The sequence below is a fragment of the Homo sapiens genome, chromosome 11, assembly GCF_000001405.40.
Source record: "Homo sapiens chromosome 11, GRCh38.p14 Primary Assembly".
NCBI classification, from domain to species: Eukaryota; Metazoa; Chordata; class Mammalia; order Primates; family Hominidae; genus Homo; species Homo sapiens.
This window is the reverse complement of record NC_000011.10, coordinates 26,647,859-26,673,192: the sequence shown is the minus strand read 5'-3', so window position 1 is coordinate 26,673,192 and position 25,334 is coordinate 26,647,859. Positions and strand designations below refer to the sequence as shown.

At 35.6% G+C, this 25,334-nt stretch overlaps 2 protein-coding genes across 11 annotated transcripts in view; one reads left to right on the top strand and one right to left on the bottom strand.

The window, feature by feature from the left end:
- The window catches only part of SLC5A12 (solute carrier family 5 member 12), a 56,370-nt gene extending 50,197 nt beyond the window's left edge, over window positions 1-6,173 (top strand). For all 4 annotated transcript variants that reach the window (XM_011519920.3, XM_006718155.4, XM_017017244.2 and 1 more), the window contains one exon: window positions 1,942-6,173. In XM_011519920.3, the coding sequence (XP_011518222.1) occupies window positions 1,942-2,091 (150 nt within the window). In that variant the 3' untranslated portion in view covers window positions 2,092-6,173. The remainder of the gene's footprint in view (window positions 1-1,941) is intronic.
- Window positions 9,904-25,334, bottom strand: part of ANO3 (anoctamin 3) — a 474,482-nt gene continuing 459,051 nt past the window's right edge. For all 7 annotated transcript variants that reach the window (NM_001313726.2, NM_031418.4, XM_047427399.1 and 4 more), the window contains 3 exons: window positions 16,988-17,068; window positions 16,712-16,817; window positions 9,904-12,931 (listed from right to left, as the gene is read on the bottom strand). In NM_001313726.2, the coding sequence (NP_001300655.1) occupies window positions 12,749-12,931; window positions 16,712-16,817; window positions 16,988-17,068 (370 nt within the window). In that variant the 3' untranslated portion in view covers window positions 9,904-12,748. The remainder of the gene's footprint in view (window positions 12,932-16,711; window positions 16,818-16,987; window positions 17,069-25,334) is intronic.

The window sequence follows — 25,334 nt, the reverse complement described above, 5'->3', positions numbered from 1 at the left end:
AATTACTGGCATTGCAGGTGGTCAGTTTTCAAACTGTTTTAACCCCTGTGAAGGTGAATTCTAGGAAGACATAAAAGTGAATAATAGAAAAGGAACAAATTGAAGACACATTCTCCTATAATAGTTCAAAGCATGGACTTTAGCGTCAGACAGTCCTGGGATTAATCCTGGTTCCATGTCCTACATTCTTTGGGTAAATTATTTAACTCCTCAACTCCAGCTTTTCTGATCTAAAAACTGGATGAGTAAGGGGGGTATTATACAGAGCAACATGGACACAAGCATTTCCAGTTCTATGGGATATAAACGTAAAGCAAGGTCATGGTGGGAATGTACAGGCAAAGACGCAGCAAGATGCACCTAACTCTCTAACTCCCTAGCTCTCTTTATTCTGGGAAAAAGAAGTGTGTTTAGATCAGGCAGTACTAGAGACACTGTCCAAGTTCTATTAAGGTTTCATCAGCCAAAGACCACCAGAAAGAGCCTGTAGTTAGACAAAATTGGACTTACTGACTTGATGCAGCAAGGTGGGGTACTTCAGAGGAATCGGGGAATGCCACCCTCAACAAGAGGGAGGAAGAACATGTCTTTTGTAAGGTTTGGGTTCCCACTGAAGGATTCTTAAAGGGGTCTATGGGAAGCAGAAAATGACCACAAAGCTATCTGGGGCAGCATTGGTAAGAGTGCAATGGTCACTCAAAGGGTTGTTACAGCATTTGATGACTGCCAGACCTTGGCAGCAGCTGACCTTATCAGTGTCTGTCTTCCCAGCTTGATTAAGGGCAGGAGTATTTTTTGTTGTTGTTGTGTTTTTCTTTTTAGTTTAAACTTATATTCACTTTTAGTCCCAGACATTTTATTCTTTTACGATTTTAGGAGAGGGAAGCCTAACCCATATCATGGCAAATATTTCTGAGTTGTCCATTGCTCTTATCTCCAGAAAACAGCAGAATAGCATGTATATCACCTAAAGCTGAGTTTATTACTTTTGGCAGGAGGCAAGAGCACCACGTTTACAGAGAGGCTCAGAATACAGAAGTTAGGTGCAGACATGTATAGAATTCTGAGCTTAAGTGACTTAAGGTAGATCTTTCAATTCAGGGTTCTTATTGGAACTGGGCAAAACTGTGTTGTGAGAATTTAAAATTGGAAAACATAGCCAGGTGAGGGTCCTAAAGTCAGTTTTGATAATTGAACAGTGGCTTGATAAGCAAGGAGTTTGCTTCATTGAACAATCTATACTTTTGAGAAAAGGGCTGTTTACCCAGATGAGCAATTTATTTTGCTGAGAAGGCAGCTGGTTAAGCAGCCTATTGTTTGTATAAATGAATTTTGAGGAAGTTCTAGAAGCAACGGATCAAGTTATTTGTTGGTTTGCAGACTCAGGAAGATAGAATTTCCTGGAATAAATAATAAACTTAATTAATGCAGGCAGCCAGCTTCTGTTCTCAAGGATAAGTTGAAAGGGAGGGGACACTCCTTGTGTCACTACTGGGCTCCTTTGCCAAAAAATAATGTTGAGCAGCATCCAGGGGAGTTTGTGCATAGGTGTCCCTGTTTTTATCAGCAGACTCTCCTATTCCCAGGTAGGAAGGGGGCCATCCCCATATGAGATACAGGTATGTTTCTCCTTATAAGGTAATACTACTACCTCACAGGATTGCTGGGTTAAATGAGAGGTATATAAATTTCTTCATGCAACACGAGACATACTGTAAATGCTCAATAAATTGTTCTTTTTGCTGTTATTATCATTAGAAATAGTACCTTACGTGGATTATCAAAGTTATCAATTAGAAAATGTCTTAGGTCAGAGTTGTTTATGCTTCTTTTGTACATATATATAATTTTTTGAAGCCAAGGCCTAAACAAGATTCTCTCAGGTTAATTTGGAGTACATCAAGGATATCTTGCTAATATGTGTCTTTGTATTTCCCTCAGGAAAACCTTGAGAATGGCAGTGCCCGGAAACAGGGGGCTGAATCTGTCTTACAGAACGGACTCAGAAGAGAAAGCCTGGTACATGTTCCAGGCTATGATCCTAAGGACAAAAGCTACAACAATATGGCATTTGAGACTACCCATTTCTAAGGCAATACCTGTATGAATGCACACACACACGTGCAATACACACACACACACACAAACTCCACATACTTCTTGCCTACTTGTTAGTAGATATGTATAGTTGCCATTGCTAGAAGACAGGGATGTCTGGTGCCTATTTCTACTTATTTATAACTACATGCAAAATGACTGTCTCTCGGGATATTCTTTGAAAGACTCCAACTTTCACAGAGAAAAACCAACCTGCTCCAAATGCCCTTGACTACTTCCTTCTTGAATAAATTAGGGCTGGATTTCATTACCATTCAAGAAAGCGAAGTCTTTTTGCTTGGTGTCATATTAAACTTCAGGTTTTTCGTTTTAGTAGTTTTTTAACCATCAAAATATCTTGGAGTTTAGAGGCAGAACGGGAAACAGAAATATGCATATTTAACACTTTCCTGCCACGAGGGATAAAATAGAGGAATGACATCCACCCCTGACCTCATACCTGACATACATGTAGATATATTTTATGCCACCCATCTCCCATCCTGTAGCTACAATTGGCATACAACTACTATTAACCTCCCTTCACCACCACTGTCAGGTCCTCTTCCAGTCATTCCAGTCATTAGCTGTCCTGACCAAACATTAAAAAAAAAATTCAGCTAAATACAGAAGAAGATGGTATGTCTGGCTAGTGGGAGTGATTATAACTAAAAACTTTGCTCCTTTTGTGCTGTCCATGCAGTATGTCTTCTTCCTTTCTATCACTTTACAATGAAAAATTGCCTCAGAGCTCAATAAGAAGTCTAGAGCCTTTTTCCAGGGCTAAGGAAAGAGAAAAGGAATGTCCTATAGAAGGTTGTTAGGATAGAATTTGGTAAAAGAACGTTGCAAATATTGTAACAGACCATAGGAGATTTCATCAGCAATAGGATTCTTCTTTGGAGAAAATACATTGTCCATAAGACTTGTACTCTGCTCATTCAACTCATGTGAGCAAGCTCAACTCACTCCACCTGGGTTAGGTAACAGAAGTGGAGAACTTCATAGTTCGTGTCTAGAAAATAATGTTTAAAGTTCTGGAGAATGAGGGTATTGCAGATTAAAAGGCGAGTTGACAAATGAAGGAGCAGTGAAAGATTTTTGGAAGAAGTGAAGAAGTGAAATTCTGAAAAGGTAAAAGAAAGAACCAGTATGTCACAGGGGCCAAGTCAGAGGACAGATAATAAGAAACAAAGTTGTATCTGAGAGTCATATATTAGGACAGGTGTCAGATATTTATTTTGGTGGCCAGATAAAAGCAAAAGGCCTAGAAACAGTGTGTTAGCAAAGTAAGAAGAAATGGTCCAAATAGGCAAGGATAAGGAAATCCAAAGGTTGTCTTTAAATATTTCTCAAAAGAGAAAGCCTTGAAAGAAGCATACAATAGAGAAAAAATAAATTACCAGTATTTATTATTAGAAAAGATAGAAAGACAGACAAATCAGTGGAGGAATTAAAACAGAGAAACTGGAGTTTATAAAACAGAGCCCAATCCTTGCCTTCTCTCCCTCCACTCAAATAGAAAAGGAGAATGGAGAAAGAGAAAGAAGGTATTAGGCTACAGTTTATAAGAGAGATGAGAAAAAAATACATTTGGGAATAGAGGGAAAGGGTCAAAAGGGGTCACATTTGGAGAAATATCTGAAAATGAGAAGGAGCAGAATTTTTGGAAACATTTTTTAAAGTCTGGCAACGCTAATTAAGCTGTTGATCTAAGGATTTGCAAATTGAGAGGTGCAATTATTTTCCAAATGATTTGTGACACTCTTATTAATTAGAATATATATTTTGTGAATATTGAAATCTGAGCCAAAACTAGTTAGCTTTATTAATATCTTAGGGAAAGAAGAGAGAAAGAAAGAGGGAGGGAGAGAGAGAAAGAAAGAAAGAAAGAAAGAAAGAAAGAAAAGAAGAAAGAAAGAAAGAAAAAGACAGGAAGAGGAAGAGAGAGACAGAAAGAATAAAAAAACAGCAATTCTGAGGATGAGAATAAATTAATGGTAGGTATTACATATGCATATACATATATATATCTGTACACATATATATGTAAATATGATTTGGAATACATCAGGATTGTGAACTTCCACTTGGGATAGCATAAAAGCAAAATATACCATACAATTTTTCATTTTACTCACAAATTTTACTCACAAATTCTCCTAAAGACATTTCACTAGGTCAGTACATTTCCGAGAAAGTTTTAAAAACGTTTCTTCTTTTATAGTCCCTAATTATCTTACCTGGAGTGTTATCAAAATGTCATACAACTGGAAAATGCAATTATTATTATAAAAATATCTCTGCCTTCTCTTGTGTAATGAAATTTATGGCATTAGGAGATGACATTTCAAGAGATTTTAGAGGTCAATGTAGAGACTCCCCCCATTCTTCTTAATTGAACAAACATGCATAAATCTAGGGTTTCAGGTAGAGAGCAGATGGGAATCTACAGGAAACTGTCTTCCATAGTGTATGAAAACCGTGTTTGTTGTGTGGTGAAGCAAAAGGAAACTATGAAGCGCACAGTCAATAGATTCAGCTAGTGAGTCCCAGCACTCCTTTCAGGCCCTCACTAGGATTAGCAGCCCAGAGTCATGCCAAGGCCACTGGTGCAGTACAAAGACAGTTCAGTGACAAGTTCCATCCATACCATGGAAGAGGGTTAAACTTGTGGCTGTTTTTGCCACAGCATGACCAGAGACATTCTCAATAAATGGCACTAGGAATGATGAGTTTTAGAGGGGCCTAAAATGTTCCAAACTTGATACTCACCACTGTACCTTTAAAGCACAACCACAGATATTGGTAAAAATGGAACAGAATTACCTCAATACCTCTTTAACTCATTCTGTATGAATTCATTTTGATGACAGACATTTTTTGTCACCATTTGGAATAAGAACTACAACAGCTTATGATTGAGGTGAGGAACTGCAGTCAAATGGCTTAGGTTCAAACACGAGTTCTGACACAAATCTAGGTAATTTTGGGCAATATTTTAAAATCTTAGTTTATTCACCAATTAATAGGAGTAAAAATTACCCCTACTTAATAGAATTATTATGAAGATTTATATAAGTAAATCATATAAAGTGCTTAGCACAGTGTGACTGGCCCACATGGAACATTTAATACTTGGTCTGCAGTATATGAAGAAAATGGTGTACATGTTAACTTAAATGGTTTCATTATTTCTCTTCAGGATTTTTAAGATGTGGGATCAGAATATATGTTACTATTTTGAGAATTAGAAATAATAAGAAAAACAGAATGTATACATTAAAAGTCATGCCTAAATTTCCAAAGAGTAGTTTTTTTAATGCCAGAGTTTAAATAAAATATTATTTTCCAGAGAGTAACTTTTCTAAAGGTCCTAAATTCTGAAAAGAGAGAAAACTACTGTTATAAACAAGTTTATTACTAAAAGATGCAATTCATTACTATGATTTATTATTATTTTGTACATGTAAACCTTGATAAATAAACAGCATCTCAACCCAAGTTTATTACTCATTGCACAGTTCAAAGCAACTATGACTCTCAAAATAGCAACAGAAGGTGGGGAGGGTCTTTTCCCTTTGTTTATATAGTATTTGCTAAAAATGAACTTTACTATTTTGTGGCTTTATAGGGTTACACCATTTCATTCTAAAGAGAAACAAAAAGTAAACCATTGGCCATGTGGCTTTCAAACAGTATTTCAAAGAGAATATTACTGAAATATTTTTGTGCTGTTACAGTCTTAATCAAACATTATTACAAAGATCAGATACGGAAAAAATAGAGGAGTCTCCCCTTAATTGTTCCCTTTGAAATAAATTGTTTTAAATTATTACAGAAGTTATAGCTGTATGTACATGCACATTTGTATATTTACAAGTCTCATGTACTTAATCTCAATATTGCAAATTAGCTAGGTTTACTATAGAGTTAACTGCTTTTATCTAGCATTTATAATCTTGTAGTATAACCTATTTTCAAATAACTAAAATTTAATTGATGTCATCAATGGTACACATGAAAATGATACAAATTTATAAACTAATAAAATGTAACTCGTCATTGATAGTAAATTACTAATGGGTAGATTTTATTGGTAATTCTTGGAAACAGATAATATCATTGTTTCCTCTCCCACCCCAATCTCCTGAGTAAATCAATGTAGATTTGCAAATACTCATGTGAATAACAAACATGCACAAGCCCATTTTTCCAATATTATACTTTGGTGTTTCAAATATTAGCCATCTTCAGAAGACAAAGAGTTAAGCTCATAAGTATGTAACTTCTTAATCACAACATGACCCTTTCTTGAAGTGTCAGGCTGTCATCATAAATTAGAAAAATAATCTTACCCTGTGGAGCAAGATGTTCATTGATAATGATATTTCAGTACATCGATAGGACATTTAATGTGATATTTTTGTATTTTCAAAATCTTTTGCAGCTTTTTAATTTCAGAATCCTAGAATACATCTAAATCTAATGTTGTTTATACAACTAGTTAAGATTAGGAAAAATGCCTATAAACAAGTATAGGTATATAATTTATATATAATTATTTAAAAATTTTTTAAATTAAGTTCCAATGTAAGTGCATTGGAATTATCAATGTGAATATTTTCTACAGGGTTAGGGATGGAATGGAAGATAGTCACCTATTCTAAAATCTTTTGTTAAAACCTTATAGATTAAGGCAGGTCTACCAGGTGACCAACTAACCATATGCCAAAATAAGGTTTTTCATATCATATAACATGACTTCCTTTATGATGTTTTGGATAATGCCTGTAATATTTAGTTCACCCATGGGTTATGACACATACACACACAGAAATAAACATCAAGATGGTTTGTAACTTAATAAAGTGGGTTACTATAAATCAAGAAAAGCAATGAATAATGGTGATATCTTTTGTGGACCTTATCCTCAGGAATTTCCAGAAATGATTCACCTGTGTCCTAAGTTGCAAAAGCAAGTGTGTGCACAGATGTTCAGAACACCTCATCCCTATTACAGGATCTGCTTTTGACACATTTAAAAGGCTAAGAGTAGTTTCGTGTAATTCTTTACTTAATGTCTTAATTTAACTGCCATATAAAAAAAAAGTGAGCAACCTTCAAATCACTTATTTGCAGTATAGTATAATATAAGCAGGCTGAATCTGTGGATAACATTATTGACTGATTTGGAATACACTTCATAAAGGTTTATACACCTTTGTGCTAACCACTTTTAAGAATGTTAATAGGTCACCTTCTTAAAAATTGATTCAGTCTATCTCAACAGAGCAAAGCTTCCTTAAATTGGCTTTAGAATTTAAGAATTTGGAAGGAATATTTAATGATAGCAATACACAGTGTATTTTTTTATGATTTTCAGGATAACTGCAGTGAGTAAAAGGAGTAATAAAACCAATATTTATAATCATCTGGATAAATATATGGTTGCAACATAATTTCTCCTGTTGAGAATAAAAATGGTTGGAGAAATCCACTCTTGTCTCTTCTGGCCATCCTCCAATTCCTTTTTCAATTATAGAATTCCAGTAGCTCTTTCCTACTTGAAAAATACAATATAGAGGCCAATGGACATACATATTAGGAAGATAAAATTGTATATCCTTAAAATTGTATATCTTTTTAAGTGTATTTTCATCTTCAACACTGAAAATAGGCTGTTTATTCTTTGGTTAGAGTTGTCACCAAAATCAAAGCTTATTAGATTTAGCTTCATAAATCATAACATAGATAAGAAAAAAAAACCTTCATTTCTTCTGAGTGTTAACAGATGAATTACACTGTGGTTTGTTTTTCAGCCAGAAAGAAGGCAGGGTGTGTGCATAGCAGATACTGAAGTAGGATCTGTAAAGTAGACATTTTTGCATGGGTAGAAAACACTCTAAATTGCCTTTATCATCTTCAAAACATTGCTTCCACAATTATCTTGGCCATCCGGTTTTTCTGCCACTCAATCTCTCTTTTCTCACCAGAGAGAGAAAAATACGCTGGGTAAAGATCAGTGGAAAAGTCTGTTCATATTACTTGTTGGAAAGATACTTAATTTTGCCTGAAGAGTTTACTGGTAGGGTTGAATTTCATGTATCAACATGCAATTCAAAATGATTGTAATGGTACTGAGGCAGTTTGAGTAGCACATGGGGCTAGCCACCTACATGGCGATTATTTTTTGAGCAGTATCTAAATAGATCTCATAAAGTTTTGTTTTTCAACGAATAATATAAGAAGTGTTACTTTCTGAAAAACAAAGAGGGCAGAGACATTGCTTTTACCACATAGAGAGAATTAAGATGAAAAAAAAAAAACACTCTGAGGAAGTCAATGCAGGTCTATACCGGAAAATCTCATTTCTTTCCTTCTTAGGGAAAAATGTAAAGCAGAGCCCACATAACTGACTGTCTAGTGTAATCAAGACTTCCACTTTGGGCTGGCTGCACGTGAACGAGGCTTTTTCTAGAGAGAATTTTGCAGAAGCACACGCTGATACAGTCATAAAGCAGTAAAACTGGACTTAGTTATAGATTTCTGTTTGAGGGTAGACTTTGATAGTACCAGATATTGGAACTGGTCCCAAATATGAAACTTTTTTCTACCAACTGTTTGTTTCATTTCACTTTCCTAAAAAAGATATCTTAATGTGGACATGGCTAGGATGTAGTGAGGGTAACATTTGTGTTCTCTAGAAAACAAAAAAGCCATCAAATGTGATCATGGGTATGTTTTTTTCAAATGAAGCCAGATGGCAAATTCAACTGAAGATAACTTATCACCATTACAAAGGTATCAATCCTAGCTAGCAGAAGCCTGGGCTGATCAATGATTCAAGCTAAAGCCCAATTAATATCTTCTTTGGACTATGTATTGTTGTCATATTTCATTTGGAATAGAAATGCCTGTAGGGAAATGTTTGGCTTTTCATCAGAAGCTGGGTTGTTCAGGCCACTCCTAAAAGGTTCTCTCTGAGCCACTAAGAATACCAGGAATGAGGTAAGATGTTAACTGATTCCCTGGATAAAACCTAGAACTATACCGAGTCCATTTTAATACCGTGATTTTCAGGGGAAATGGAGTGGAAATATCTGGTCACTATAGTAGGACTGAGTTGGGCATATTTCAAAGACAGTAACTGCTCACTGATTCTTATACAAAGGATGGCAAGATGCAAGTGTGTGTATGCACACCCACACACAACACACACCCTAGGCTTATATTAACTTGCCCCCATTTGACAGGCTAGTCAATCAAGCCATATCAGTTAAGCAACTCTGCAGGCCACCTGGATTTTCCATTTTGACTATCATTAAAAAAAAATGGGCAAATTGGCAGCCTCTTTTTGACAGTTGGCTATGGTGCTCCTGCATGTCCTCCCTCCTTAGCATGCATTGTATCTGTGCTAAAATTCCGGTCTTAAAGAGATTTTGATGGTGATTGATGGAGCCAGCATAAATGTGAAAAAGAGAAAGGGCTTATGTGTGATGACAGTATTGTTAACCCTCACAAGAACTAATCAAGCTTCTTCTCTTATCTGTGTCTAGTACAAAGCATTAGATACGTGTGATTCCCCACCAGCACTTTATAATGTGCAAACGCCTTGAAGAAAATGATGATCTTATCAGAAGAAAGTCAAACCTTTTTAAGAGTACGGTAATGGCCTGCAAGAATAAGAAGCTAGCCTTGTAGAGTTAAAGAATGAACAACACCCCCTCCCCATAGAAAACAAATTTCAATTTAATATTTAAAAAGCAAGCAGAATTAAACTTAACATGCAAATTATAGGGAAAATACCATATCAAATAATAATTTATTGAGTGAAAAAGTTTTCTATTCATTCCATCATACAATAGATTGTGCTAAGGATCATTTTGGAAGAATGTGCAGCATTCAGAAGTTGTATCTCATCATGCAGTCACTCAGCAGCATTTTATCTAAAAGTACGTGCACAGACTCAGACAATTACAAACTATTTCAGCCATGATCTATGGTGATTTTCCACACATTGTACAGTGAAAGCTCTTCAGCTTGGAACAACTTGTCAAGGCAGACTGCATGCACATATATATTAGTTATTTGCTTGAAAAGACAAGTTAGAATATGAAAATATATAAGCAGCATTCATGTAATACAGAATTCCTGAGAATAGTGTGTGCTATAAATCTTTGAGAAATAATTTGTATTCATATAAAAACCATGATATAAAACATTTCTCTCAACTAAAACAGAGTGATCTAAAACTAACACACTGCAAGGGGCTGTCAGTATTTACTGTCAACAGTGATGAAGGCATAACTAGATTCTATTGCACTGTTTTGCAAAATAAACATTTCAGACAATTTTTTCTTTTTCTGTTTTTCACATCTGTTTCAAAAGTATCAGAGAAGGCATTTTATAAATCAATGTATTACAATTTTTAAATTAAAATATTTTTCTCTTTTCATATTTTTCTTTCTAGTTGATCAATATGGTTTTAAACCCTAACGGGACTATATAAAAAGGAAAGGAAATACTTCTTAAGGATAGAGCTATCATTATTCTTTATACTACTGTCAGACAAATGTTGCTGTTCTGTGGCCCTAATTTGGAAAAGATGTTGGTTGATGTTATTATTAGGTAGAGAGAGTATTTATACTCAGGCAGGTGTATACATGTACCTAACAAAGAAAAAGAAATGCAGATGCTATAAAAATGGAGGAGTGTAAAAAACTCCCTTGTACTTAGTGGAATTAGTTGCTACGATTGCTACAAATAAGGAGGGGGGGGAGCATGAGAACCTCTCTGGAATCTGAATGGAAGAGTTTCACATAACAACGGCACTTGAGGGAAGTTCAGAGTCTGAGGCCCTTTGCTCAGAATCAGAGGACAAGGAGGAAAGTGAATATGCTTGACAAAAACAAACAATGAAACAGCTATCATCTATCCATGTTTCTTCTGGAGAGAAAGAAGGAAAAGCTAACAAAACATTTTCAGTGTTAATATTTAGAAAATAGTTTTCTAGTAAGAGAAACATAATCTTACTAGAGAAATACTGGCATATATATGTAGTAGCTTTATTTCCATTGTGTTTGATCTGGTCTTTTATATGTTAGAAATAATGGTGCTTTGCTTGATTGGACAAATAATAACAATCATAGTAACCATAAATATGTATGTGTGCATATGTGTGATTTCCTTGTTTTGCAAAGAAACGTCTTAATTTCTACCATACATTTACTTCAGCTCTTCTCTTTCTTCCTTTCCAACCTCCATAGCTTATGCCTCCTCTGAACTTTCTTGAGTGCCCCATCACTCCTGCCTCATCTGTCTGTGGAACAGACATACTCATAGATACAGAGTTGACGTTGAAATAGAAATTCCACAACAAAGCAAAATTATGTCTTTTGTGATTAATTTGACTTTGTTTCTAGAGCGTTGTTAAAAATAAACCAAAACAAAACTATGGAAGAAATAATAACATAAAACTCCCTTCAGTCATGAAAAAAGAAACTAAAACACAAATGTTTTTTCTTTTTTTAGCAAATAATATAGATTTATATTCATGCATTATTTTCATTAGTTCATGAGTAAGAGTGCACATTGTTGAAAAAGCGTAAGTGTTGCAGAGCATCTGGCCTCAGTTTTCCCGAATAAACATATTACAATAGCAAAAACTGGTGTCAGAGCTGCATAAACCACAATGTATACTACGTACTGTCAAGGTGCAAAGGGACAAGGAAAACCAACGTATTTACAGCATTTCAAGTTAATATTCCGTGAGAGTTGTAATAAATCATAGAGAAAAAATTAAATAAACTATAAAACAGCCTTCCACAATAAAGTATGGATTAGTTGTGTTCTAAACTATATAAGAATAGCCATTCATAGTTTATAAGTATGTGGCTTTATTGGCATTTAGTACAAAAAATTGCACTGCAACTGGCTCTGCCAGGGGTAAAAGAGACTTGAAGTAGCCAATGCAATGGAATATTATTTCAATGAATGCTGTTCTTTTTGGAATCTTAGATTTTTGGTTTGACTACTAAAGGTGATGTGCAACTCTTCAACTGCATAGTCAATGTAAAGCAGCATAAATCCCCTGTGGCACAGATCCATAATCTCAGCAAGAGACATGGGCAATTCCTACCAACCTGTAAACTGAAGGGATGTAGAGTTCTGGCAGCCAAGGCAAGGATTTGTTTAAGTCATTTCTTATAAGTATCTGAACTCAACCATACTTTCCAAAGTCAAATTAGTATGTGAGTGAAGACTGCATGATATTTTAAGCCATGCCTGGCTTGTGCACATTTACATGGAAATCTGTCTTTCAAAACCTCACCACCCTCTTTCCCATTACACTGCAGTTGATGGAAGGCAGAGTTCTCCAAGCATATATCTCCCTGAGACTGGTTCTGAGAATTACATCCTGGCTTCCTGCAATGTCAATCTAACCCTTTTTAAGGTCGTCAAGTCATTGTTTTCTTCCCTACAAGTCTGGATATTTCAAATCCCAGAGATGGCTGTGATACATTTCCAAGTAGCATATTATACATGTGGTTTGCCAAGTATGCCTTCCTCCTAGATTTCACCTAGCATTCAAAGTTGCCATCATTTCTTCCCATTAATGTTATCACCCCTAATGGGTAACAGGTGTCAACTAAGGCCATTCATGGTGAACAGGCTGACCACTTTTTCTCCGTTGTTGTTGCAAATGTTCCAGTTCAGCCTCATACATCATTTCTTGAACTAAGTACTTCTCTCGTCGTATTCGGTCATGTAGACCCTTTGGTACGTCTGGAATCAGGTATGCGATGAATGACTTAATCCCAAAAACAAGGTGCTGCAAATTTAAATGTGAAAAGGACAGTTTTCAAAGATTCTGAAATGCTAATTATAAAACAGTACAACAATGAACAATGTTGCATTTGCCTTGAATCAAGCATCAGAACTTAGTATGTACCATTTAGAATATTAATATTTTCAAAAATTATATTGAAAACACTACTGTTGCTTTCTTCCTTAAGTATTAGGACAAAACAAAGAATTACTTCCTCTTATTGCTGCAACATGTTGATATCACTTTATAAGCACTGAATAAATCTTAAATTCACTCCTATAAAATCTTTACATATTATGAAATATTATTACGACATGAATTGTTACACACAGATGAGAAAGATCATATCCAGGGAGAACCCATGTCCAATAGATCATAACACATATCATGTAAACCACATAGAATGCAGTCTGCCTGTTATGCTAGCATTAGACTCAAACTCAGAAAATGCATTTTTCATGTCTATTAAGTTCATATATCATCATAGCTGCTTTAAATATTTTTACCTTTATTACATAATAATTCTATGATAAAAAACATATTACTTTTATTTTATTATTACTTCTTTGAGACAGCATCTCATTCTTTTGCCCAGGATGGAGTGCAGTGGCATATACACAGCTGACTCCAGCCTCCATCTCCTGGGCTTAAGCAATCCTCCTGCCTCAGACTCCCAAGTAGCTGGGAGTACAGTTGCCTGCCACTACACCTGGATAATTTTTTTTAAAAAATTTGTAGATATGAGGTCTCACCACATTGCCTAGACTGGCCTCGAGCTCCTGGGCTCAAGTTATTCTCCCACCTTGGCCTCCCAAAGTGCTGGGATTACAGGTGGGAGACACTGCTCCTGGCCGATATTTTGAAAAATGAACTGACAAAAGTAATGCATTAAAAAAAAAAAGCAGGAATAAAACTCAAAGGTAGTATGTCTGTGGTAGGAAGTATACATGTTGAATGAGGCTGCTTGAATCTGAATCCTATGCTTATTAGCTGTTTTAACCTCAGGCAAATCACCTATATTCTGTGTTATATCCCTAAAGTGGTGATAATAGTAGTACTTCTTAAAGGTTGGCATAAGTATTAAATGAATATATATACACATACACACACAAATACACATACACAATATACATATACATGTTTGTGTATGTGTGTATATATATATGTGTGTGTGTGTGTGTGTGTATGGCTCAAGGATTGCTTGTCATAGTGTGAGCCCTGCTTAAATATTACCTCCTGTTATTATAAATGCATCCTGTTTTTCCTATGAAGAAGAGTAGATATTTCAATTTCTCAGAAAGGAAAAAACATGATACTAATAGAGTTAGCATAACCTGTGGAAAATAATACATTCCTAATGGATTCTTAGTAGATAATAGTCTATGAAGAATTCAAGGTACTTTAACTGGGCTTATTATATGTGTCCCAAGAGACTGTACTGCAAAGTAGATCATAATAAGGAAGGTCATATTTTTCCATATAAAAGCAAATAATCAGAAGTTTCTTTCTTGATAAAATGTTTGATATTCACAGAAATATCCAGGAATGTGCCTCAAGGGTATAGGAATAAAATTCAAAACATTTGCTATAATTAAATTAGTAGGGATATGCTTCAAGTCCCTGAGCAAAAAATAATTCAGTATAGCTTTTTTTTTGGACGGAGTTTCACTCTTGTTGCCCAGGCTACAGTGCAATGGTGTGATCTCAGCTCACCACAACCTCCGCCTCCTGGGTTCAAGTGATTATCCTGCCTCAACCTCCTGAGTAGCTGGGATTACAGGCATGCGCCACTGCACCCGGCTATTTTGTATTTTTAGTAGAGACGGGGTTTCTCCATGTTGCTCTTTGCTCTTGAACTCCTGACCTCAGGTGATCCACCTGCCTGGGCCTCCCAAAGTTCTGGGATTACAGGCGTGAGCCACCACACCTGGCCAAGTTAGTATAATTTTAATAACACTGACTATTAGAACTTAATGCAGAAGTATTTTATAATTAAAAAGTTTATTCAACTCATTCTAAATGGTGCTCTAAGGGGAAAATATTTAATACAATAAAAGATAGTCTCTTCAATAAATGGTGGAGGGAAAATTGGATATCTATGTGCACGAGAATGAAACTAGACCCCTATCTCTTACCAAATGGATTAAAGACAAGTGTAAGTCCTGAAACTATGAAACCACTAGAAGAAAAACACTGGGGAAATGCTTTAGGACATAGACCTGGGCAGAGATTTTTTTGGGGTAAGAACTCAAAAGCATGGGCAATAAAATCAAAAATAGACAAATGGGATCATATCGAGCTAAAAAGTTCCTGCATGGCAAATAAAAAACATCTACAGAGTGAATAGACAACTGATAGAATGGGGAAAATATTTCCAAACTATCCACCTGACAAAGGATTAATACATTTGATGAAATATCATACGGAAGACAGAAAAAATGTTCTAAACGTGGATCAATCTCATGGCTAGCTCTCTATATATCTAAAAACAGTAAAATGGGGAAGGCACAAAATAAGTTTCATGAAACAATACCATTGAAGTAATTTTGAAAAAGAACACTCAAATTAATACTATGTATTTTTTTTGTAAACAAACACATGTGCAAGTAAATATGTGGAAGAATTTATACGGATGAAAAGGGAGTGGATGTTTTTGGAATGGGTGGGTAATGGAATTAGCAGTGGTGAAAGAAGAAGAAAAAAATAGTGAGGAAATTACATGGATCAATGATGACAGTTTGCTTTGAATCCATGCACTCTATTAACTTTGTTCATTTGAGCTCCAAAATAAGATGGGGGGAGAAGTGTAAATAAAAACACAACAGAAGTTTTTTTAATCACCGGGTTGGAAATATGCCTTAACTCTTATATTAGACACTCTCACTTCATCAGGAGACATGTATATAGGTGCAAAGTCGTTAAATAACAGAATTTCAGTCCTCGATGATACCCTTAGGGGTAAGCATTTCATTTTAAAGATGAAGGATACTTCACTAAAAAATTTGAAGTACTTTTTGGAGATCAGTTGAGAGGTGTATTACCTTTAAAAATATTTGTTCCAAAAGTCTTAGTCATAGCTACCTTTTCTCTGAATTAATTGGTGTGGCCATATAAAACAGATTCATTTAAAGTCTTTTTATTGACCTTAGTGGTACCTCAGAGAGTAGATACTCAATATATCCCAGTGCTAAATTATTCACTGTATTGAAATAATTGTATGCTAAACAAGGCAATAATACAATAGCTTCTGCCAAATTTCTTCACAGGATTACAATCAGATATTATTGTATGGATCTGATAATCAAAGTCTCTGAATTTTTAAATAAAATGTTCTCAAGCACAATTTATTGAACCATCCAGTGTTGCTTACACAAATATATAAGTGATCAACTGTAATTGGAATTGATTGTTCAGAAAATCAGTTTTTTCCATCCCAATGAATCGATATGGATTCTTTTATTGGATGATGAAAATCATCCTTTCCTTTTTAAACTTGGTTACTAAAAGGCTCAAAAGTAGGAGGCTCAAAAGTTTTCAGCTCAACTGTGCAGTAGCTTTTTTATTAACGCTGATTTCCTGGTATTTAAATTAATGTACACTCTTACATTATTCAGCTCTTGCTTTTCTGTACTTGTAATAATGCTTTCATTGTATTAAAGCCTTTTACGGGACCTACTTAAGTGTTTTTATGGAAGTCTGAGGAACTGATTTCAAAGAGGCAACTGATAAATCATTTAGAAAAGCATTTATCTATAGTAATTTTCATCTCAGCTTGTGACTAACCTCAAACACAATAATGAAGGCCAATCTAGCAGCAAGGATATGCCAGTATTGTAAAGTAAACTCATAGGGTTTGGAACTCCAGGGCGGGCCTCTGTAGTCTCTGTACCTGAAATCCACAAAAACAAAGAGAATGACAAATAGAGATCAAAGAGTGGAGGCCCAAATTTTCTTGATTTGCCAAAATGCCAAAATAACAGTTTAAATGTCCTCATTAACATGCAGGGGGGAGTACTTGGAATGGTGAAAGCAAGCAGGAAAGATAACTATTATAAGTACCTGCAATAACCAGATTTTCCCATACCAAGCTCACTCAGGTCAAAGAAGGATAGGCTATTGTTGACATATCCCTTCAAGCAACTGGGAGAAAAGAAAAATATCATGTGATTCAAAGATTCATACGTTTCTAGCCTAATTATTTTATTACAAATGCCAGGATTTTACAAATGTATTATTCTTTCCATTCTAATGATAAACTTTTAGCAACCAAGCTCTTTTATTCCATTCCCTAACTCTCATAATTGTACCTTAATGAGACAGATTCCTGCCCTGCCGTTTTCTCCCAATAATTCCTATCTTGCCTTTTCATCTGGTTTATGTTTATTAAGTAGTTACTACACACTAGATATTTTGCTAATTACTTTCTATGCATTAAAACTCTATAAAATATGTTTTATAAATATGCATGCACATAATATTATTCAATTATAATTAAGTAGTTAATAAACATTGCTTATTTTTTACTTAACTTATTAAACATATATATTTATTCAAGACCTATGATTTGCTGGAAAAATTATCGATGCTTGATACTTAACAGTGAACAAAACAGGCAAAAACCCCTATCCCTGTGTAGCTTACATTCTAGCAGGGTGGGAGAGGGGAGAGAGATGCACACAATAAACATAATTAATAAGTAGATTGTATAGAATGTTAAAATGCAGTAAGTGCTATGAAAATAAAAATGAAGTAATTCTTCCAGATGGGATATTGTTAAGTCAGCATTCCTACGGTAACAAAAATCAAGTTTTTAAAGACATTGAAGATGTATGGAAACAAGAACTACATGAATGTTCCAGAGAGAGAAAAGTCCTTCCTAGGGAAATTGGCAATCACCTATTCTTTCCCTTTCCTGGAGGCATTCATTTGTCAAATCTGGGTGAATACTAAGAATTAGGCTCAGCAAGTCAGAGTGTCTCTACCAAGGGCAATAGAAACCAATGAATTTTACCAATTGCATGGGGCTGATGTGACAGATGGGAAGGTACAGAAGCCCCAAATGCCTGGATGTTTTCTCATGAGATATTTGCTAAGTTCTTGGGCAGCCTGGAAAGCTGGGGGTGGGAGTGATTTGATTTTCAAAAGGCAGAATGAAATCTTCTAGAGTGTCACAGCACTTAAGAGAAAAAGGCCTTCTACAAATCCTCCTGCAAGAAGGAGGGGGCCTGCCACTAACACACAGCCTCTCAAACTTTTGAGGCAGTGGGGGCAGAAAGATAAGTTTAAATTTTCTATAGACCACAAATGAATCTCATGACCAAGTGGAGCTAATTCTCGCAATACAAGGTTTTTTCTATCATATAAAATCGCTCAGTGGAACTCACTACATTAACAGAACAAAAAGAAAATCATATGATCATATTAATAAATAAACAAATGTTTTATAAAATTCAACTGGAGACATAATAAACTCTATTCAACAAACCAAAAATCTGGTAGGATCTTAATGTGATGAAGAATATCTACATAAATACATATAGCTAATATCATATTTAACAGTGAAATGCTTCATATGTTGAACACTTTCTCCTGAAGCCAGGGAGAAGACAAACGTTTCCCTTGTAACTATTTCTATTCAACATTGCCTACACAAGTAGAAGAAAAAGACATAACTGGAATTAACATAAAGAAACAATATATAAATATGACTTTATTCACATATGGTATAGTTATATACATAGGAAATATAAAATAATCTAAAAACCATTTGAATTAATGAGTGAATTTATCAAGGTCACTAGATAGATACAAGGTCAATATAGAAAAATATTTCTATATACTAGCAGCAAACAAAAGAAAATAAAATTTAAATAAATACTATTTATAGTGACATTACAAATACCAAATATCTGGGCATAAATCTAAAAATGCCATATAGGACCTCTACACTGGGATCTAAAAACAAACAACCAAACCACATGTCTCAGAGAATTCAACGAACGCTTAAATAAATGGAGTCAGCATGTTTCAAGATTGGTTGTTAAAATGTCAATTCTCTCAAATTTTTAAAAAATGGTAACTGATAAATTGAATCTAAAGTTTATATGTAAATGTAAAGAATCTATATTAGCAACGTCGATGTTGAAGAAGAAAATGTACAGAAGATTACAGCACATAATATTGACTTACTGTAAAGTTACAGTAATTAAGACACTGTGATCTTCATACAAGGAAAGGCAATAGACCAATGAAGAGGAGATAGTTCAAAAACTGATCCACAAATACACATTCACCTGATTTATGACACAAATGGCACTGCAATCCTTGGTGAAATAATTGTCTTTTCAAGAAATGGTGCTGGAGAAATTGGATGTTCTTAAAGAAAGTAATGTAAAGTTTTGACCACCTCACAACATAATAGATTAGGCTAAGGGAAATTGGAATTAGGGGTTTAAAATTTCACGTAGAGTCCTTAGGGTAGACTTTTTTAGGAAGATAACACGAGGAAAGATTAGGAGTTGAAAGAGGCAGCCGTGAGGGTATCTGGGGATGGACAGTTTCAAGCAGAAAAAGCAGAGACCTTGGCACGTACTGGGGACTGTGAGAGGGCGGTGGTGGTGGAAACAAAGGGAGGGAGGGAAATAGTGCCGGAAAACGAGCTCAGAGAAGAAGCTCCCTTTGTATGAATTTAAGGAGGATTTTGGCTCTTAGAGTGAAATAAGAAGACACTACTGAGTTTTGAGCACATGAATTACATGAATGAACTTAAGTTTTAAGTAAGATTATTCAAGGATCCAGGTGAGAGATGATAGTGTCTTGAGCTAGGTGGTGGCAGTGGAAGTGGTATGAAAAGGGGATGTTTAGAAAGCAGGGTCAACATGTTTTCCAGTGGGTTGTGTGGGGCGTGGAAAAAAAAAGTATTCAAGGCTGATTGCCAAGGATCATGGCCTGAGCCACTATAAATATGAAATTGCTGTTAATTGATATGGGCAAGACTGAAGGTTAAGCAGGATTGGATGAAATTCGGACTTTAAATTTGGGCATGGCAAGTTTTAGATGTTTATTAGACAGGTAAGAGGAGATGCCAAGCAGACAGTGGAATATTCAAGGCTAGAATTCAGGTATGAGCGTAGATCGATCCATGAAACTGAATTAGATGGTCAAGGAAATAAATAGAAATACAGAAGATAATAAGTCCATAGATTGAGCCCTTGGGGAACTCCAAAACTAAAGCTGAGAGATGAGGAGAACTAGCAGACATGACTTGGCAGGTGTGGCTGGTGGGGTAGCAGGAAAACAGAAATTATGTGTCTTTCTGAAAGTCAAGTGAATAAAGTACATTAAGAAGGGAATGCTCAATTATCAAATGCTGCTGAGAAGCCAAATGATGTGAGAACTGGAGTTGACCAGTGGGTTTGACAATGTGAAAGTCATCATGACATCTCAACGGAGCCATGGGGCATACACATTATCGAAGAGAGTTTAAAAGGGAAGAAGAGAAGGGGAATTGGAGAACATAGGAACAGAAAACTCTTTGGATGTAGTTTCTGTTATAAATGGGAGCAAAGACATAAAGATGTAACTGGAAGGCAGCCAGGACAAGGGAGGACTTTATCTATTGACTAGAACAATAAAAGCATGTTTCAATGTTAATGTGAAAATGTAAATAGAGGCAAAATACATAATGTATGAGAAAAAGGGGTGAATTACTAGAATGATGGTTTCAGATAGGGAAAGAAGAAGAGATCCAGGGCACAAGTGGAGGAATTTTGCCTTCAGTATGGGAGCACAGATGGTTCTATTTCTAGGAACTTGGAGGAGGCAGGCTACATGGGACACATACTGTAGGTAGGAAGATGTGATAATAGACGTCTGTGGAAGATCTTTTCTAATTGATTCAATTTTTCTTAAGTAGGAAGCAAGATCAGGTCAGAGTGAGAATAAAAAAGGAGGTTCAGAAGGCTTGAGGAGCAAGGAGAAGCTATGACAAACTTCTCTAAAAAAGTAGACGGGCAAATGGACTAGAAAAATAAAATACGTTTGTCAGGTCCACACAAAGTATGTGATACAAATTTAAAGTGAAACTAGTCAGTGTGGTTGTTCATTTTCCTTCATTTGCATGCAGCTGCATGAGTGCAGTGCAGAGTAGACAAAGAGTCTGGAGAACCAACGATGTGATTCTGCAATTCCGTAACAAAGTGAATGGGGGAAAGGACCTGCGTATCCAAGGAAGTGGTTACGGTGATTGGGCAACTGGTTTGTAAGATGGTTAAGGATGGAAAAGAGGACATCAAAGGAAAGGGGAGGGGCAAGAATGAGTTATTATGACCAATGCTTTAGAGATCCAGGTGAGTTCAAAGAATTGTTAAAATTAATTTTTACAACAACCTTAAAACATATATATTTTATCTCCATCATAATGACTAAAGAATTGAAGTTTAAAGGGACTAAGTAACTTCCTGTAGGCCTATAATTCCAAAAACGTTTGCCCTCAGAACCCCTTTGCATTTAGAAAAATTATTGAGGATCTGAAGAAGCTTTTTTCTTTTTTTCACAGAGGTGTATCTATTGATATTTTAAGATATTTGAAATTAAAGCTGAGAAATTTAGAAAACGTCTATTACTTCATTTAAAAACAAAAATAATTTATATTAAGGTAAATTAATATAAATGACCCGTTTCTTAAAGAAAAATACCTATATTTTCCAAAAGAAAAACATAGTGAGAATGACATTACTTTAAATGTTTGCAAATCCCTTTAATGCCTGTTTTAACAGAAGACGGCTAGGTTCTCATATCTGGTTCTATATAAAATCTGTTGCAATATGTTGTTTTGGTTGAAGAATAAGTAGAAAATCTGGTCTCATGTATTGACTATTTTAATAGTATTTGAAACAATTGTGGATATTTTTCATTGACATTCCGTCAAAGCTCTACATGTGATACTTTCTAAGGTTTAGTTGCAATGCGGAATTTTAAACCATATCAATGACGTTTTCATTCTGTTACATTAAAATCCCTAAGTCTAACTTGCATTTTAAATTCATCTTTTATTCATTCATGATTTTATAACATCAAATATGGGTTATTTGGAAAATTAGTTCCTGGAACCATGCAGCTCTTCCAAATATTGACATATTTTTTACTATAGATCATGAAAAAACTCACAATTGTTAATATCACCATTTATTTTTATCAGAAAAAAAATTGGGAAGCTTTTAGGCTCAAAGTGGTAAACAAAAGTTATCCAAAATTCTTAACTTTCACTTCAGTGCTTGAACTTTTTCAATGGCAATAAATATAGCAATTATTTTCTTTAAAATGACAAGCTAGTAGTGAGCATTCTGTAAAAGACTGCTAAGTATCCAAGTCTGAATAATCATAGTTTGTCTGGCAATCATTATTTCATGTTGGAAAAAAGTTTGCTCAGTTTGTAACTCCAACGATCACATGAGTATTTTTTTTCTTTGAGACGACCATTACGCTTTGGCATTCAGCAGAAAGTGGTTTATGCACACTTCCTATTTTGTCACATAGAATATTTAAAAGGCATCTATTCAATAGTGGAGATTTTATTAAATCAATAATTATTGCTGCTTCACTGAGGACACACTGAACTTCTTACTGAAATTTTTTATGTTGGCCAAATTATGGTGAGGAATACAATCACTAGCAATACTGTTTGGTGCCACTGCCTTTAGTTATGCAAAACTACCAGAAACTTTATTCACCAATATTTTTGGATCACTAGGGAAAATGTCAATATATGAAAAGGGCAAATGATATCTTAATTTCAGTATAAAAATCGCATCGACTTCATGGACCCCTGAAGGAGATCTGCAGACCACATGTTAAGAAGGACTGCCCTCGGAACCTAGATTCAAACACGCATCTATCTGATTCTAAACCTTGAATTCTTAATTACAGAGCTATGCTGGCTTCACTCCATTCGTTGTCCATACTAGAACAAATAATTTATCATTTCACCTACTCTTTTGCCAATATCCTCCCCTCCCACTGTCATCTTCTTCCGCCACCTTGCTCCGAAAATTTCCAATCTGAATGAATCTATGCCAATTTAGCTGCTAAGCATACATGGAAAATAAACAGGGTGCTCCTCTGAATGTGTGGTGTCACTGTAACATAAGCCCTCCACATCTTTGCTTGAAATTAGTCTATATTCCTAACCGATGAATATGGAGATGTCGGGCGCTATCTACACGAAAGGCAGGCGCTATCTACATAAACGCAGAGTGCTAGATACCCAGTCAATCTCATTTTCACCTGCCACTAGGTGGCAGTGAAGACACTGGCAAATAATGCTATGGAAGAGGGCTCCCTAACAAGCCTGTATATTTTAAATCCTTAACATCTGCTTCTAGATTATTTTGAACTAAGAAAAAACAGGGTTTTTAAAACTACTAATACGAAATCCCTCTTACACTTAAATTGTGCTTTAGAGTTCATAAGATCTTATTTCAGACACCACTTCTTAATCATAAGGGCTATGAATATATATTTTTTTTTTGAGACGAAATTTTGCCCTGTCGTCCAGGCTGGAGTGCAATGGCGCGGTCTTGGCTCACTGCAACCTCCGCCTCTCGGGTTCAAACGATTCTCCTACCTCAGCCACCCGAGTAGCTGGGATTACAGGCGCCCGCCACCACGCCCAGCTAATTTTTGTATTTTTAGTAGTGAGGGGGTTTCACCATGTTGGCCAGCCTGGTCTGGAATTCCTGACCTTGCGATCTGCCCACCTAGGCCTCCCAAAGTGCTGGGATTACAGGCGTGAGCCACCGCGCCCGGCCGAACATTTCTTATTATGAACCAACTAGGTCCAGATTAATGACATGCCTTTTACTAAAAAGCAGAATACAGGATAAGCATGTCTAAGTTTAAAACTACAGAAGTTTAATATTTACTCATTCTATATTGTTAAGGGCAGAAATAATTAAGAACAGATTATCAAAAAAGTCAGATTCTACTGTTATATACCTTTAAAATGTGTACATGAATAGAATACATCTGAAAAGATGGGTTCAAAATATTAGTAATATGTATTTCTGGAATGGAATTATAGTCTCGTTTTGTTTTTGCTAGGGTTTTTATGGCCTTTTATTCTTCTGTATTTTCAATTATCTCTAAAATAAAGTAGACAATTTATTATAAAATTTTAAAAAAAGGCAAAGTTACAACTCGAACCTAAAATGTCCGGCTTCAAGTTAAAATCCTTTGACAAGACCCCACGATATGCAATACATAAAGGAAATATCCATCCCTTTATCACCTATCTGAAACAACTGAGACATTTATATCCAGAAAGGTATTTCATTGATCTGAGAAAACGTCAGTTCCTCAGCAGAGTTAACAGTGCATTTCCTCCTATTCCAGGGCTCATCCTGTTGTGGCACATGCCCTGCATCCGGATCAGCTGCACACCCAAAGCTACTCCTGAAGGAAGCAGGAGAAGCAGCTTCTCCTGTCGCTTCTTCCACACCTAAGGCTGATCTCCAGCTACAGCTCTGTTTCATGTGCCTCCAACTCCTCTCCGTTCCTCAAATCCAATGCCCTCTTACATTTTTCCCCCAATACCTTATTTAAGTAAGGAAAGAGCTGAGAAAACCTGTATCACCTAAAGCAGTGGTTCTAAACTGGGTCATTTTGTCCCCCAGAGGACATCTGGCAATGCCCAGAGATAATTATGGTTGCCACAACTTGGGGAATAGTGAGGTTACTATTGGTATCTACCGGGTGGTGACCAAGGGTGCTGCTAAACATCCTGCAATGTACAAGACAGCCCTCTGCCCTCCATGAAAAGACAGAATTACCTGATCTAAAACGTCAATAGTGCAGAGGCTGAGAAACTATGTTGCAAAGAGTGGACTTAAATTTTAAAAGAAAATACATGGGAGACAGGATTTTTTGCGTCCTTAAAACCCCTAGTTGTAAATTCCTTTTGAAAATCTCCAGTCACAGAGCTGACAGTTCCTTCAAGTTCTGCTTCTTCCCACAAACTAGCACTGCTCCATTCAGCAGTTTGATTAGCCAGTATAGGTTGCAATTTCCCCATCTATACGGTAAGAAGATTGCATTCTTCTTACCATCTAGATGGTAAGAAGTTATTCTAAGATAACTTCTATTTACAGAATGTAACTTCTAAATATATTTTTAATATTTTGATACTTGTGATGCATTTCCAAGTAAAAACAGTAGACGGACTCTAAGATTATTTGCTATAATAACACTGTTGTCCTTTTTACCTTGCTTGATTTCACCTAATAAACACATTATAAATGCAATGCTTAGAAACACCACCCTTAATGGTCACAGAACAAAACTTCCCAGTAAGATCCTATTTTAATTACAAATGTAAAACATATCAGGAAAATGTTTAAATTTAAACCTT